We start from the raw sequence: 17,985 nt of genomic DNA, 5'->3' as shown, positions 1-17,985 counted from the left end.
GTGCCTGGGCCATGAATGCAGATATGTATAAGAGCATAGCTGGCCAGGAGGCCTGAATCTTTGACTGCAACTCTCCTCAGACACTGCAATGCATTGGCTCTGTACCAAGTCTGGTGTGGGAAGGGCAGCTTTTCCTATGAGGCCTTCCAGGCAAAGCCTTTGCAATTGCCTGTGGCTGGGCCTGAAATATCACACATACGGTTTTGGCCAGGAGTTAAACTCCTCACTCCTGAACCCCAGTTCTGCTACCTGAGCCCAGGCCACCATCCTCTCTTACCTCCAGAATTACAGCAGCCTCCTTAATGGTCTCCTTGGAGCCGGTCTTTGCCATCTTCCAATCTGTTTTCCATAAAGCAGCCAGAGGGATTGTTATAAAACACAAATCTGACCTAATCATGCCTGTATCAGTCAGGGTCCCAAAAGGAAATAGACTTTAATTCAGATGGTTCAAATGAAAAGCTTTGATGAAAGGGCTACTTACAGAGGTGTGGGCAGAATGAAAGAGACTAGAAACAGGGGAAGCCATATTTATCTGTAGGTCTGAAGAGACAAGAAATAGTTACTCAGTGAAAGCTGGAGCCACAAAAGGGCTGCCTGGCAGGACCTGTGTTCAAGGAGGGATACATTTACTATCGGGTGTAGCACTGAAGCAAGGGGACCCAGGGAAAAGGCACCGCATTGGCTGAACCCATCTGGAAGCCAGTAGGCAAGGGAGAGTGGGTGACAGACCCTATGGGGATCTGATTTCCAGGGCAGAGAATGGATCTGGAGGTATGGGAAACAAAAGAACCAGTGCAACTCTTCTACTTAACACCCAGCCATGTCTTCACATTGCATGTAGGGTAAAGTCCAAGCTCCTAAATTTGGCTTCCAAAGCCTTCCTGATCTGGGCTGAGCCTTTCTTCGCAGTTTGTATTACACACTTCATCCTGAGCTCTTGCTCTGTACTTTCGCCATACTCAACTTACTTTCGTTCTCTCCTATCCAGGCCTTTGTAAGGGTTATTCTCTATCCCAGAAATATTTTCTCCAACCAACCTCTCTTTAATCTGTATACATCTTTCTCACTTTTCAGATCTCAATTTAATTGTCACTGTCTGCAGAAATTCTATTGTCACATGGCCCTGACTAAGCATAGTGTTTTCTCATGGATTTCCATATCCTTCTTCCACATCAAAGCCTCCAATAAATTTCCAGTCACTCCCACTGTACTGTAAGCCTTGCAGAGCACAGATTGTATCTATCATGTTCACTGTTGTATCACCAGAGTGTGCCTGGTACTAGGAACTACTTAAGTATATATTAAATGAATGAGAGCTTATTATATTTCATGTACTTGCCATTCATTTTTTTTCATCGATTTCCTTCTATTTCTATGTTATGTTGAGGTTTTATTAGGGGAGATGGATGAATTTTATCAACACCTTTTCAGCAAGTGTTGATATGATTATGTAGTTTATCTTCCTTAATTTGCTGTTGTAATGAGTGATAAGTGATTGATTTTAGATCATACATTTGCATTCCTAAAATATACACAACTTGGTAATATTCATTTTATTAGAGGCTAGATTTTGTTTACTAATAATTTATTTAGAATTTTTGTATCTAGATTCATTTGTAAGAGTTTTACATTTTTATATTCTCCATCTGGCTTTGGAATTAGGATTATGCTGACTTCATAAAATAAATGAAGGAGCTTAAATAGGATTAGAACTATCTGTTATTTAAGAGTTAGAGAGAGCACTGTTACGAAACATCCGGTCCTGGCACCTTGTTTTAATGGTAGATCAAAATTCACCTGAGAGGAGCCAAGATGGCCGAATAGGAACAGCTCCGGTCTCCAGCTCCCAGCGTGAGCAACGCAGAAGACGGGTGATTTCTGCATTTCCATCTGAGGTAGCGGGTTCATCTCACTAGGGAGTGCCAGACAGTGGGCGCAGGTCAGTGGGTGCGCGCACCGTGCGCCAGCGGAAGCAGGGCGAGGCATTGCCTCACTCGGAAGCGCAGAGGATCAGGGAGTTCCCTTTCCTAGTCAGAGAAAGGGGTGACAGACGGCACCTGGAAGATCAGGTCACTCGCACCCGAATACTGACGGGCTTAAAAAACAGCGCACCAGGAGATTGTGTCCCACACCTGGCTCGGAGGGTCCTACGCCCACGGAGTCTCGCTGATTGCTAGCACAGCAGTCTGAGATCAAACTGCAAGGCGGCAACGAGGCTGGGGGAGGGGCGCCCGCCATTGCCCAGGCTTGCTTAGGTAAACAAAGCAGCCAGGAAGCTCGAACTGGGTGGAGCCCACCACAGCTCAAGGAGGCCTGCCTGCCTCTGTAGGCTCCACCTCTGGGGGCAGGGCACAGACAAACAAAAAGACAGCAGTAACCTCTGCAGACTTAAGTGTCCCTGTCTGACAGCTTTGAAGAGAGCAGTGGTTCTCCCAGCACGCAGCTGGAGATCTGAGAACCGGCAGACTGCCTCCTCAAGTGGGTCCCTGACCCCTGACCCCCGAGCAGCCTAACTGGGAGGCACCCCGTAGCAGGGGCAGACTGACACCTCACACGGCAGGGTATTCCAACAGACCTGCAGCTGAGGGTCCTGTCTGTTAGAAGGAAAACTAACAAACAGAAAGGACATCCACACCAAAAACCCATCTGCACATCACCATCATTAAAGACCAAAAGTAGATAAAACCACAAAGATGGGGAAAAAACAGAGCAGAAAAACTGGAAACTGTAAAAAGCAGAGCGCCTCTCCTCCTCCAAAGGAACACAGTTCCTCACCAGCAACGGAACAAACCTGGATGGAGAATGACTTTGACGAGCTGAGAGAAGAAGGCTTCAGATGATCAAATTACTCTGAGCTATGGGACGACATTCAAACCAAAGGCAAAGAAGTTGAAAACTTTGAAAAAAATTTAGAAGAATGTATAACTAGAATAATCAATACAGAGAAGTGCTTAAAGGAGCTGATGGAGCTGAAAACCAAAGCTCGAGAACTACGTGAAGAATGCAGAAGCCTCAGGAGCCGATGCGATCAACTGGAAGAAAGGGTATCAGTGATGGAAGATGAAATGAATGAAATGAAGTGAGAAGGGAAGTTTAGAGAAAAAAGAATCAAAAGAAACGAGCAAAGCCTCCAAGAAATATGGGACTATGTGAAAAGACCAAATCTACGTCTGATTGTTGTACCTGAAAGTGACGGGGAGAATGGAACCAAGTTGGAAAACACTCTGCAGGATATTGTCCAGGAGAACTTGCCCAATCTAGCAAAGCAGGCCAACATTCAGATTCAGGAAATACAGAGAACGCCACAAAGATACTCCTCGAGAAGAGCAACTCCAAGACACATAATTGTCAGATTCACCAAAGTTGAAATGAAGGAAAAAATGTTAAGGGCAGCCAGAGAGAAAGGTCGGGTTACCCTCAAAGGGAAGCCCATCAGACTAACAGCGGATCTCTCGGCAGAAACTCTACAAGCCAGAAGAGAGTGGGGGCCAATATTCAACGTTCTTAAAGAAAAGAATTTTCAACCCAGAATTTCATATCCAGCCAAACTAAGCTTTATAAGTGAAGGAGAAATAAAATACTTTACAGACAAGCAAATGCTGAGAAATTTTGTCACCACCAGGCCTGCCCTAAAAGAGCTCCTGAAGGAAGTGCTAAACATAGAAAGGAACAACCAGTACCAGCCGCTGCAAAATCATGCCAAATTGTAAAGACCATCAAGACTAGGAAGAAACTGCATCAACTAACGAGCAAAATAACCAGCTAACATCATAATGACAGGACCAAATTCACACATAACAATATTAACTTTAAATGTAAATCGACTAAATGCTCCAATTAAAAGACACAGACTGGCAAATTGGATAAAGAGTCAAGACCCATCAGTGTGCTGTATTCAGGAAACCCATCTCATATGCAGAGACACATATAGGCTCAAAATAAAGGGATGGAGGAAAATCTACCAAGCAAATGGAAAACAAAAAAAGGCAGAGGTTGCAATCCTAGTCTCTGATAAAACAGACTTTAAACCAACAAAGATCAAAAGAGACAAAGAAGGCCATTACATAATGGTAAAGGGATCAATTCAACAAGAAGAGCTAACTATCCTAAATATATATGCACCCAATACAGGAGCACCCAGATTCATAAACCAAGTCCTGAGTGACCTACAAAGAGACTTAGACTCCCACACATTAATAATGGGAGACTTTAACACCCCACTGTCAATATTAGACAGATCAACGAGACAGAAAGTCAACAAGGATACACAGGAATTGAACTCAGCTCTGCACCAAGCAGACCTAATAGACATCTACAGAACTCTCCACCCCAAATCAACAGAATATACATTTTTTTCAGCACCACACCACACCTATTCCAAAATTGACCACATACTTGGAAGTAAAGCACTCCTCAGCAAATTTAAAAGAACAAAAATTATAACAAACTATCTCTCAGACCACAGTGCAATCAAACTAGAACTCAGGATTAAGAATCTCACTCAAAACCGCTCAACTACATGGGAACTGAGCAACCTGCTCCTGAATGACTACTGGGTACATAACGAAATGAAGGCAGAAATAAAGATGTTCTTTGAAACCAACGAGAACAAAGACACAACATACCAGAATCTCTGGGACACATTCAAAGCAGTGTGTAGAGGGAAATTTATAGCACTAAATGCCCACAAGAGAAAGCAGGAAAGATCCAAAATTGACACCCTAACATCACAATTAAAAGAACTAGAAAAGCAAGAGCAAACACATTCAAAAGCTAGCAGAAGGCAAGAAATAACTAAAATCAGAGCAGAACTGAAGGAGATAGAGACACAAAAAACCCTTCAAAAAATCCATGAATCCAGGAGCTGGTTTTTTGAAAGGATCAACAAAATTGATAGACCGCTACCAAGACTAATAAAGAAAAAAAGAGAGAAGAATCAAATAGATGCAATAAAAAATGATAAAGGGGATATCACCACCGATCCCACAGAAATACAAACTACCATCAGAGAATACTACAAACACCTCTACGCAAATAAACTAGAAAATCTAGAAGAAATGGATAAATTCCTCGACACGTACACTCTCCCAAGACTAAACCAGGAAGAAGTTGAATCTCTGAATAGACCAATAACAGGAGCTGAAATTGTGGCAATTATCAATAGCTTACCAACCAAAAAGAGTCCAGGACCAGATGGATTCACAGCTGAATTCTACCAGAGTTACAAGGAGGAACTGGTACCATTCCTTCTGAAACTATTCCAATAAATAGAAAAAGAGGGAATCCTCCCTAACTCATTTTATGAGGCCAGCATCATCCTGATACCAAAGCCGGACAGAGACACAACCAAAAAAGAGAATTTTAGACCAATATCCTTGATGAACATTGATGCAAAAATCCTCAATAAAATACTGGCAAACCGAATCCAGCAGCACATCAAAAAGCTTATCCACCATGATCAAGTGGGCTTCATCCCTGGGATGCAAGGCTGGTTCAATATATGCAAATCAATAAATGTAATCCAGCATATAAACAGAACCAAAGACAAAAACCACATGATTATCTCAATAGATGCAGAAAAGGCCTTTGACAAAATTCAACAACCCTTCATGCTAAAAACTCTCAATAAATTAGGTATTGATGGGATGTATTTCAAAATAATAAGAGCTATCTATGACAAACCCACAGCCAATATCATACTGAATGGGCAAAAACTGGAAGCATTCCCTTTGAAAACTGGCACAAGACAGGGATGCCCTCTCTCGCCACTCCTATTCAAAATAGTGTTGGAAGTTCTGGCCAGGGCAATGAGGCAGGAGAAGGAAATAAAGGGTATCCAATTAAGAAAAGAGGAAGTCAAATTGTCCCTGTTTGTAGATGACATGATTGTATATCTAGAAAACCCCATTGTCTTAGCCCAAAATCTCCTTAAGCTGATAAGCAACTTCAGCAAAGTCTCAGGATACAAAATCAATGTACAAAAATCACAAGCATTCTTATACACCAGCAACAGACAAACAGAGAGCCAAATCATGAGTGAACTCCCATTCACAATTGCTTCAAAGAAAATAAAATACCTAGGAATCAAACTTACAAGTGATGTGAAGGACCTCTTCAAGGAGAACTACAAACCACTGCTCAATGAAATAAAAGAGGATACAAACAAATGGAAGAACATTCCATGCTCATGGGTAGGAAGAATCAATATCGTGAAAATGGCCATACTGCCCAAAGTAATTTACAGATTCAATGCCATCCCCATCAAGCTACCAATGCCTTTCTTCACAGAATTGGAAAAAACTACTTTAAAGTTCATATGGAAACAAAAAAGAGCCTGCATCGCCAAGTCAATCCTAAGCCAAAAGAACAAAGCTGGAGGCATCACGCTACCTGACTTCAAACTATACTACAAGGCTACAGTAACCAAAACAGCATGGTACTGGTACCAAAACAGAGGTATGGATCAAAGGAACAGAACAGAGCCCTCAGAAATAATGCCGCATATCTACAACTATCTGATCTTTGACAAACCTGAGAAAAACGAGCAATGGGGAAAGGATTCCCTATTTAATAAATGGTGCTGGGAAAACTGGCTAGCCATATGTAGAAAGCTGAAACTGGATCCCTTCCTTACACCTTATACAAAAATCAATTCAAGATGGATTAAAGACTTAAATGTTCGACCTAAAACCATAAAAACCCTAGAAGAAAACCTAGGCATTACCATTCAGGACATAGGCATGGGCAAGGACTTCATGTCTAAAACACCAAAAGCAATGGCAACAAAAGCCAAAATTGACAAATGGGATCTAATTCAACTAAAGAGCTTCTGCACAGCAAAAGAAACTACCATCAGAGTAAACAGGCAACCCACAAAATGGGAGACAATTTTCACAACCTACTCATCTGACAAAGGGCTAATATCCAGAATCTACAATGAACTCCAACAAATTTACAAGAAAAAAACAAACAACCCCATCAAAAAGTGGGCGAAGGACATGAACAGACACTTCTCAAAAGAAGACATTTATGCAGCCAAAAAACACATGAAAAAATGCTCACCATCACTGGCCATCAGAGAAATGCAAATCAAAACCACAATGAGATACCATCTCACACCAGTTAGAATGGCAATCATTAAAAAGTCAGGAAACAACAGGTGCTGGAGAGGATGTGGAGAAATAGGTACACTTTTACACTGTTGGTGGGACTGTAAACTAGTTCAACCACTGTGGAAGTCAGTGTGGCAATTCCTCAGGGATCTAGAACTAGAAATACCATTTGACCCAGCCATTCCCATTACTGGGTATATACCCAAAGGACTATAAATCATGCTGCTATAAAGACACGTGCACACGTACGTTTATTGCGGCATTATTCACAATAGCAAAGAGTTGGAATCAACCCAAATGTCCAACAATGATAGACTGGATTAAGAAAATGTGGCACATATACACCATGGAATACTATGCAGCCATAAAAAATGATGAGTTCATGTCCTTTGTAGGGACATGGATGAAATTGGAAATCAACATTCTCAGTAAACTATGGCAAGAACAAAAAACCAAACACCGCATATTCTCACTCATAGGTGGGAATTGAACAATGAGAACACATGGACACAGGAAGGGGAATATCACACTCTGGGGACTGTTGTGGGTTGGGGGGAGGGGGGAGGGTTAGCATTGGGAGATATACCTAATGCTAGATGAGGAGTTAGTGGGTGCAGCGCACCAACATGGCACATGTATACATATGTAACTAACCTGCACATTGTGCACATGTACCCTAAAACTTAAAGTATAATAATAAAAAATAAAAAATTAAAAAATTAAAGAAAAATTCACCTGTGTTAGTTTCCTATTTCTACTGTAGCAAATTACCACAAATTTAGGGGCTTAAGACAACACAAATTTATTCTCTTATAGTTATAGAGGTCATAAGTACAAAATCAGCTTCACTGGGCTAAAGTCAAGGTGTCAGCAGGACTGCACTCCCTCTGAAGGCTCTGGAGGAGAATCCGTTTCCTTGCCTTTTCCAGCTTTTAGGGGCCATTTGCATTACATGTCTCATTGCACTTTCCTTCATTTTCAAAGGTAGCAGTATAACGTCTTCAAATCTCTCTCTGCTTCCATGATGGCATCACCCTCTACTGTGGTCAAATCTCCCTCTTTCTCCTTCTTACAAGCACACTTGTGATTATATTTAGGGCCCACCCAGCTAATACAGGATAATCTCTTCATCTAAAAAAAATTACTAATTTAATCACACCTGCAAAATCCCTTTGCCATATAAGGTAATATTCATAGGATCCAGGGATCAAGACTTCGATATATTTGGGGGCCATTATTCAGCCTACCACACTCCCTCTTATAAAGACCCTTGCAATTACATCATTGGGGCCACCTGGAATTAATGCAAGGTACTTTCTCTATGTCTAGATCCTTAACATAATCACAACTGTAAAGTTCCTTTTGCCATATAAAATAACATACTTTATTCACATATTCAGGGGTTAGAACACAGACATCTTTGGACAGCTATGGTTTATCACCTTTCAAATCTATTCTATGGAAATTGGCCTTTTAATGTTTTCTATTTCTTAGGTCAATTTTAGACATTTGTATTTTGCTAGGAAATCAGCAATTTCCTCCTGGTTCTCAAATTTGTTTTGACAGATGTGCATATAATATTCATATACATATATATATATATATATATATTTTTTTTTTTTTTTTTCTGTGACAGGGTCTCACTCTACTACCCAGGCTAGAGTACAGTGGCACAATTATAGCTCACTGCATCTTCAACCTCCTGGGCTCAAGCAATTATCCTGCCTCAGGCTCCTGAGTAGCTAGGTCTACAGGTATGAGCCACCATGCCTGGCTAGTTTTTTAGTTTTTTTGTGGGAGACAGGGTCTCACCATGGTGCACAGGCTATTTGAACTCCTGGCCCCAAGCCATCCTCCTGCCTTGGCCTCCCAAAGTGCTGGGATTACAGGCATGAGCCATCATACCTGGCTCTTACAATTTTTTAAAAAATCTCTTTCTTTGATAGTTATCATTTTTCATTCCTAATCATGTATATTTTTTCTTGTGGGCATATTTTATTTTTGCCATAATCAGGCTCATGAAGCTTGTTGTTTTTATTGGTCCTCTCAAAGGAATAGTTTTTCAGTTGATGCATTCTTCTTCCATGTAAAAAAATTTCTATTTCATCAATTTTAGCTTTTATTTTCTTAGTTTGGGTTTTTGATTGCTTTTTCTAATTTTTAAGATCGTATTTATTTATATTATCTATTTCTTTTATCCAAATAGAAATTTATTTTTCTTTCATGTGTACTTTCATTTTTCTTTCTTTCTATACTCCTATAGGCAGTATAGGAGTGTTATGGTTACTCCACCATCATTAGGACTTACAGGTTTCTTTTTGAAAAGTGTTTTTGATTTTTAAATTTTTAAAAAATTGATATTTAATAGTTGTACATGCAATATTTTGATACCTGCATATAATGTGTAATGAGAAAATCAGGGTAATCAGGATGGCCATCACTTCAAACATGTATCTTTTCTTTCTGTTGGGAGCATTACAAATCTTCTCTTCCAGCTACTTTGAAATATACAATAAGTTATTGTTAACTATAATTTCCCTACTATACATCAAATACTAGAACCTATTCCTTCTATGTTTTTGTATCCTTTAACCAACTTCTCTTCATCCCTACCTCCCTCGCCTTTCTTTTACATCCTCTGGTAAGCACCATTTTAATCTCTATCTCCATGAGATCCACTTTTTCAGCTCCCACATATGAATGAGAACATGCGATATTTGTCTTTCTGTGCCTGGCTTACCAAAGGCCTCCAGTTCCGTCCTTTCTCACTGTCTTCCTTTGTGGTTAAGTGATTTTCTCTGGTAGTATGTTTTAATTCATTGCTTTTTATTTTCAGTATATCTATCATAAGTTTTTGTTTGGTGGTTAATATGAAGATTACAAAAAATTCTATAGTTATAACAAGTTACTTAAAACTGATTCCAACTTAGCTTTGATCACAAAAAAACAAAAAGAAACAAACTAACAAAATAAAACCTTATACATATTAATTCCCCTCTCCTCACACATTTTGAATTTTTGATACTGCAATTTACATTTTTATATTGCTAATCTCTTAATAAATTGTTGTAGTTATTGTTTTTAGTAGTTTTATCTTTTAGTCTTCTTAGTAAAGATTTAATTGATTTACACACCACAATTACAATATTAGTGTAACAATCACATTGGTATCCTTTTCTTTTGGCCTAAAGAACTCTCGTTAGCATTTCTTGTAGGACAGGTCTGGTAGCAACAAATTCCCTCAGCTTTTGTTTGTCTAGGAAAGCCTTTATCTCTCCTTCGTTTCTGAAGAATAGCTTTACTGGAAACAGTATTCTTGCTTTGCAGTTTACTTCTTTCAGCACTCTGAATATATCATCTCACCTCTCCTGGCCTGTACAGTTTCTACTGAGAAGTCTGCTGCCAGGCATTTCAGATCTACCTTATCTGTTATTTGCTTCTTTTTTCTCATTGCTTTCATAATCGCTTCTTTGTCTTTGATCTTTGAGAGTTTGATTGTAATACCTAAGGGTATTCTTATATGGGTTGAAAGTGATTGGTGACCCTTGACCTTCCTGTACCTGGATATTTATATCTTTCTCCAGGTTTGGAAGGTTTATGTTATTATTTCTTTGAAAAAGCTTTCTACCTTCTTGTCTTTCTCATTTCCCTCTTTAACTAAGTAACATGAATGATTGCTCTTTTATTGTTGTCCTGTCATTCCTGTAAGCTTTCTTTATACTTTTCATTCTTTTTTCTCCTCTGACTGTATATTTTCAAATATTCTGTTTTCAAGCTCACTGATTGTTCAGCTTGATCAGTTCTGCTGATCTATTGCATTTTTCCTTTCATTCATTGTATTTTTCAGCTCCAGGATTTCTGGGTTTTTTTTTTTTTAATTATTTTAATCTCTGTTAAATTTCTCTGATACATTTCTGAATTGATTATGTGTATTTTGTAGAAGTCAATCAAGCTTCTTAAAACAGCTATTTTGTATTATTTGTCTAAGAAAGTGCATATCTCTATCCCTTTAGGGTCAGCCTCTGGCACCTTAGTTTTTCCATATGAAGAGTCATATTTCCGTGTGTGTTTTTAATGCTGTGAACATGAAATGATGTCTGCGTATTGATAGGTTAAGTATTTATTTAATATTTTAGTCTTTGTAGTCTAGCTTTCTTTGTGCTTATCCTTGTAGGGATTCTATACAGTCTGACTATTGTTTTCTCTGAGCCTCTGACCTCTGCAGCCATCTCAGCAGTAGAAGATGCTCTAAGTACAGGCTTGCTGCAAGTCTCATGAGGACTATGAGATTGGCACAGCTTTCCAGCCCAGAAGGATCAGGGGAAGACTCAAGGAGGGTACTTGGGCTGTGTGGGAATGCTGGACAGGGACCTGAATCCAGAAGACTGTCCTGGTGGCCAAGATGGATGGCTATCCCCAGTTGGGGACCCATCCCACCTGTGCATGCCTCTCAGCAGGTTTCTGCACATGTGGGATGGGTCCCCACCTGCAGCAAGGGAGGCTGGAGTTGAAATTGGTCCCTCTCAGGATCTGTTATGGGAAGGAAGCTGATGGGCCTATTTTGTTGGCTCAGACAGATATATGTCACCCAGCAGTACCCTGCACAAGCAGGGTAGTTCTTCGACTGCAGCAGGAAAGACCAAAGCTGAGGCTGGACCTCCAAGGGACCTGCTGTGAGACAGACACTGGCATGCTTATCCCAGTGGTTTATATGGGTACGCATCTTCTAGTAGGTCTCTGGATAGATGGGATAGTTCTGTGCAGCAGGGGGAGTCAGAGCGGTTACTAGGGCCCCTCAGGATCTGCTGTGGGACAAGCTGAAGAGCCCTTCTCATTGGCTTAAACAGGTATACATCTCCAAGCAGGTATCAGCATAGATGGGATAGTTCCCCAACTGCAGCAGGATGGAGTGTTGCTGAGATGGGGCCCCCTTGACATCTGCTGTGGGGCAGAACCTGGAGAGCCCTGTCTCATTGGCTCAGAGAGACACATTCTCCCAGCAAGTTTCTGTAAAGATGGAATAGTTCCTTGGTTGCAGTGTGAGAGGCCAGAGCTGAGACTGGGCCTCCTTGGTATCTGTTGTGGAACAGAGGTTTACAAGCTCTAGCCTGTCTGAGAGGCTCAGACTACTGGGCTGCAAGTTATGGGCAAGTCTCCCTCTGGATCCTTATGTAAGCAGCTCTGAGCTGGGACCTCACCTGAGGGGGCTGGAGCAGAACCAGAGAGCAACGTTCAGATTGACTGCCAACACGACTGTCAGTGGGTAGATGAGCCTTTCTATTAGTGTGCACAATTCCTTCTTGACTCCTCGGCAGATGGCTTTGGTTGCAGGATCAAGGCCAAGTGGGGTTGTATCCAAACCCCTTGGGAGACTGGGTCATTTTCTGGCTTGAACCCAGGAACAAGCTTGGTGGATCAGCCACCTATGTGTAGGTCTTCCCTCTGCAAATGATCCTCTGATGTCTTGGACTTCACTAGGGTTTCACAAACTCCTACCTCAATCCTGAGGCTCCTGCAGAGTGACTTTTTACCATGGATGGATGCAGAATTCTTATAGGGAGATATGAGCGGGTTACCTTCTATTCTGCCCTCTTGTCACTTCATTTTTATATGATATATTTCTGATTTTATTGGATGAGGATCAGAGTTTGTGGTTTTAAAAATCTTTACTGTTTTATATTTTAATGTTTTTTGCAGCAAATACAATTTTTGTACAAATCATGGTCATATAAAATATATATTGTCAATTCTAAGGATATATGCATTTATTATATCAAGTTTTGTTTGTGTTATTGTGAAAATAAGTAATTCAAAGTCAAAGCTGTTGGAACTCTAAATTATTGTGAGCCTTAAAAAATGTGAATTATGAGGCTTGAGTCACATCACAGGCTGCTGTAACCTAGGCAGCTAGAACCTTTTTTCCTCTAGTTATGGGTGAAAGCTTTTCCCTTACCTGCATTGTTTTGTAAAATGTTGTAAATGGCTGAAGGATGCCAGGGAAGACCCTCTTTCCTCTACACTATCGACTTTCATTAAAAATTAACCTCCCTCTTTCCTTTCTCACACAAAGAATTCATGGTTATCACATTGCCTTAAGATGGAATGTTAAATACACTCTTTTAAATTTGAAAGGAAATGAAAACCAGCTGTAAAGAAAAGAAAACAAGCCACACAGAAAAGAAAACAAACTGTAACTAATTAATTTGTTGTTAGAATGCTTTCATTTCCCATAATCTGTTTTCCACCCACTACTATCAAATCCTAGAGTTTTTAAAATCATATTTTAAGATCCAAGTATTGAAATATTTAGTACTCTAAGACCCAAAGATTCTTATATTTTTCCTTGCAATATGTAGTTTTTGTTTTAAAAATCCTTATTTAGAATTAAAATTATAATTTCTTGGTCACTCTGCCACTATTCACTTATATTTTTCTACATATAGAGCCAGATGTATTGCTTATTACTTCTCCTCTCCCCTCATTTTGAAATCTCTGTCCTAACATTTGTAGTTTAGCAGTGTTTTTCTCACATGAAGTATGTGATTAATGTTCTCTGAATTCCTGAGTTTCTGCAAATATATATTTTTATCCTGACAGGGCTAGACAGTGAATTTTTGGGTTTCAGCTCACTTTTGGAGGTAGCCTATAGAAATAACGTAATTCATTTTTAGATTTTAGTATGTATTCAGGAAGTTTGATGCCTATCTGATTCTTTTTCCTTTGTAAGTGTGGCAGACACACTTGGTTACCCACTCAACATCTACTGGCTTCCTAACATCAGCACTGATTTTCTCAGGTATTATCCTATTCTCCATGGTATTTATCCCATTTCTTGTTCTGGAATTGTAGATTTTGATTTGTTTAAGTCAATCATGAAAAGGTCATTTACTTCTAATTAGCTTAGGAGTGAGCATGTGACTCTGCTCTAGTCAATGATACATCAAGGAAAGTCTAGTAAGAAATATTTTTTAGAAAAGTTTTCTAGCATTTGAGATCACTACTCTATCAATTAGGAAAGTTTTCAATTCAAAATAACATAAAACAAAAATGACCTTTAAAAATTGGGGGATAGTTTTCTCAGATAGCAAAAAGCCCAGAGGCAGGCAGTTGCTGATGTTGCATTTCTGATATCAGGGCATATACATCTCTAGTTTCTTTGACCTTTCCCTCATAGTTGCAAGATGGCTGCTGCAGTTCTAGCTCCAGTCATCACTTCAAAGCAAGAAGAAGGAAAAATAGGTAGGATAATGTCTGTACCACATGCTACTGTCCTTTCATATCAAGAAAGCTTATGGTTTCCCAGAAACCATTTAGCAAAATATATTAGATTGGTCAGGGTTCTTCAGAGAAACAGAATATATATATGGAATATAATGTAAATATATATATTTACATATATGTGTGTGTACATATATATGATGAATAAATATAAATAAGGAATGGTTCACAGTATTATGAAAGCTGGCAAGTCCAATCTGCAGAATGGGTTGGCAGACTGGGGACTCAAGGATAGCTGATGTCCCACTTTAAAGGTCATCAGTCAGGAAGAGCTGATATTTCTGATGAAGTCCAAAGGCCATCTGCTGGAAAATTCTCTCTTACTCAGGGAAGAGTCAGACTTTTTGTTCTATTTAGGCCTGATAGAATAAGGCCCAGCCACATTATGGCAAGCAATTTGCTTTACAGATTAAAATGTTAATCTCATCCATAAACACCCTTGAAGATACACTCAGAATAATGTTTAAACAAACATCTGGGGACCCCATGGTCCAGTCAAGTTGACACATAAAACTAACCATCACACAAACTTCTTTCTGCTTACATCTTATAGTCCAAAATTATATCACATGGTCACCCTTGACCAAAAAGAAGTCTTAGAAAGTGTGTTTAGCTGGGCACAAAATCAAGGTTCTTTTAGTGAAGAAGAAGAGGATGGTGGATCTTGGATAGGTAATCAACAACTACTGCCACTAAGCTACTGCCACTAAGATGGTGGATCTTGGATAGGTAATCAACAGCTACTGCCACTAAGACAAGAGGAGAGACAATTCGTTTGCTGCTTTTGGACATTGTGATGCTGTAATTTTTGCCATGAAAGAAGGTAGTCTGAGGATAAAGCAGAATTATTAGTTTGAAAAAAACCTGGTCTGTCTTTACTGGTGCAGTTAGGCCACTGAATTAACTAACTCTAGAGTGGTTTTACCCCTGGGCTTTGTGTGTGTACGTGTGCACGTGTGTGTATATGAGATATGTATATATACAGTTTCCTTATTTTTAAAGTCACTTTGATGTTTCTGATACTCACCACCAGAAAGCATCTTTATTAATATAATAGCATAGATTCTTTCTGTCTGGAAGTTTTAAAATTTATCCTAAAAGTTTAGAAATTTTATCAGGCTTTTTATTTTTCCAGCATTCCTATACATAACTTGAATACTTCAAACTGCAGATTTAAAATTTTCTTAATTTCAGGAAAATTTTCTTCTAATAGTTTAGTATTATTACCTTGTCTCTATCTGTTTTTATTTCTCGTTCTAGAACTTCAGTTATCCATGGGTTAGGTTTATTTAGCCTGTAGTCTCTTGGGTTTTTTTCCCTTACAGTTCCTATCCCTGTATATTTTTTACTCTGTGTATTATGTCTCCCACTTGATCTTGCAAATACTGCCTTTTATGACACCCCAAATATCACAATTCAGCCTCTCTACCAAGCTGAATTATCCAATAATTGCTTTATGTCAAAAAACAATGAGAGGTAAGACCTACTAGTGATATATGACGCAGGATTTCAGTTTTCAACTTTCTTGCCTCCTAGTTATCCACAGACATTACAAATTTTAATATTTTTCTTTAAAGATAGATTGAACTTTAAGCAATTTTTGTTTCTGTGGGATTAGAGGAGAATAAGAATTCTAAGAATTCAGTAACATAAGACTGTGACTTTGCGATAGACGTTTTAGTGAGCTAATGTGATTCAAGTGGCCTTACAATATGTTCAACAAATATTTTGGCATTACAAAAAGAACTTTTTCAAGTTTATTTTTTAGTTTTCTTGACAAAGTGGTTAACCAAAAGGATCTTCTGTGGGTGGACAAGGATTGAGAAAACTAAATAATTAGATCCATTGAACCTATTGTGGCAGAAATGCAGTGGTTCTATATGGACCTAAACAACTGCAATGTGCACTGTGCTGCTTAAAGCACAGAGGATACAAAGAAAAATGATGCACAGTTCCTGAGTTCAAGGCCATACAATCAGAAGGAGTGTGGGGTCTCATGCACTTGACTTAGGAAAGGAAGAGCATTGAGCTCTGACATGTTCCCTCCTGATGCACCTTTAAAGGACGTATCCCTAGGTCCCAGAGAATGCAAATTTGAGGAGGTGCTCATAATATAATTTTATCTGGGAATTGGGTATAATCATTTCTTGTGTCCTGGTATCATGTCAAAATACCACTTGAAGTATTTTCTTTTCTTGATAATGGATTCTTCTCATAACCCCTCTGACAGGAAGATTAGCCTCTGAGGCTGAGGTTTATTGCCCTAGAGAAGGAAAGGCAGATACTGTCTAGGCAGAAAGAAATTGCTCAGCTCTGAGTTTAAAACCAGGCTTTTGAAAGTCCATGGTGAGAAAAGGGTTAGTTTTTACGGAAATCCCAAAACAGAACCTGGAACGTTGAACATAGATTAAATCTTAGACTGGGGACATCCTACCACACATAAAGGAGGTGACTTGGGTGGGAAGGGAGGTTCATAAATAATGGCTTGTTAGCCCCCCAGTATATTTTGATTTTGCTATATTTATATCTCTTTAAGTGCTCTTGTTATTAGGTCAAATTGTTGTTTATTTCTTCTAGCAGCTCTGGTCAGTTTTCTCCTATGGCTCATCTCCACCCTCTGGCTCCAGCAGCTTCTAGGCTCTGAACAGTTCTATAGTATGGACTGCAGTTGGGGCACTGGAACACAAGGATGTTCACAAGAATGTTCAGCAAGTTTTTTTTTCTTTCAGCCACTTTTATTTCCTTTTAGAGACAGGATCTTACTATCTTGCCCAGGGTAGTCTCCACCTTCTGGGCCCAAGCAATCTTCCCATCTCAGCTCTCCAAGTAGCTGGTAATACAGACATGTGCCACTGCACCTGTCTCAGGCACTTTTAAACAATTACGTTCTCACTTGATATGTAATTTTTGCTGCAGTAGACACTTAGCTTTTATGAATTTAACTTTTTCAATGATAACTCTTTGCAAGTGATCACACCTTCCCATCATGTGTATTCGAGATCATACCTTCCCATCATGTGTGTTTGAGTATTTTTTATTTATTGTTTCACTTATTTACATATATTTTCTTTAATTTTTTGGAGTCAGGCTCTCACTCTGTTGCCCAAGCTGGAGTGCAGTGGTGCAATCATGGCTCACTGCAGGCTCAACTTCCTGGGCTTGAAGCAATCCTCCTGCCTCAGCCTCCCAAATAGCTGAGACCACAGATACATGCCATGATGCCTGGCTCATTTTTCAATTTTTCTTTTTTTTTTTTGAGACAGAGTCTTGCTCTGTCGCCCAGGCTGGAGTGCAGTGGTGCGATCTCGGCTCCCTGCAAGCTCCGCCTCCCGGGTTCACGCCATTCTCCTGCCTCAGCCTCCCAAGTAGCTGGGACTACAGGCGCCCGCCACCAAGCCCGGCTAATTTTTTGTATTTTTTAGTAGAGACGGGGTTTCACCGTGTTAGCCAGGATGGTCTTGATCTCCTGACCTTGTGATCTGCTTGCCTCGGCCTCCCAAAGTGCTGGGATTACAGGCGTGAGCCACCGCGCCTGGCCTCAATTTTTCTTTTGTGGAGACAAGGTCTCGCTATGTTGCCCAAATTATTTAGGTCC

General features: G+C 39.7%; 2 annotated features.

Annotated features, from left to right (window-relative positions):
• Positions 1,475 to 2,059: an enhancer, noted in NCBI's record as "NANOG-H3K27ac-H3K4me1 hESC enhancer chr9:6182967-6183551 (GRCh37/hg19 assembly coordinates)". NCBI's record gives its function as "activates a minimal SCP1, AML or CMV promoter by ChIP-STARR-seq in naive and primed H9 embryonic stem cells {active_cell/tissue: H9 hESC(naive and primed)}" and the evidence as "EXISTENCE:reporter gene assay evidence [ECO:0000049][PMID:30033119]".
• Positions 2,060 to 2,644: an enhancer, noted in NCBI's record as "NANOG-H3K27ac-H3K4me1 hESC enhancer chr9:6182382-6182966 (GRCh37/hg19 assembly coordinates)". NCBI's record gives its function as "activates a minimal SCP1, AML or CMV promoter by ChIP-STARR-seq in primed H9 embryonic stem cells {active_cell/tissue: H9 hESC(primed)}" and the evidence as "EXISTENCE:reporter gene assay evidence [ECO:0000049][PMID:30033119]".

Source organism: Homo sapiens, chromosome 9, assembly GCF_000001405.40.
Source record: "Homo sapiens chromosome 9, GRCh38.p14 Primary Assembly".
In the NCBI taxonomy this organism is placed as follows: Eukaryota; Metazoa; Chordata; class Mammalia; order Primates; family Hominidae; genus Homo; species Homo sapiens.
This window is presented reverse-complemented; position numbering and strand designations above follow the sequence as displayed.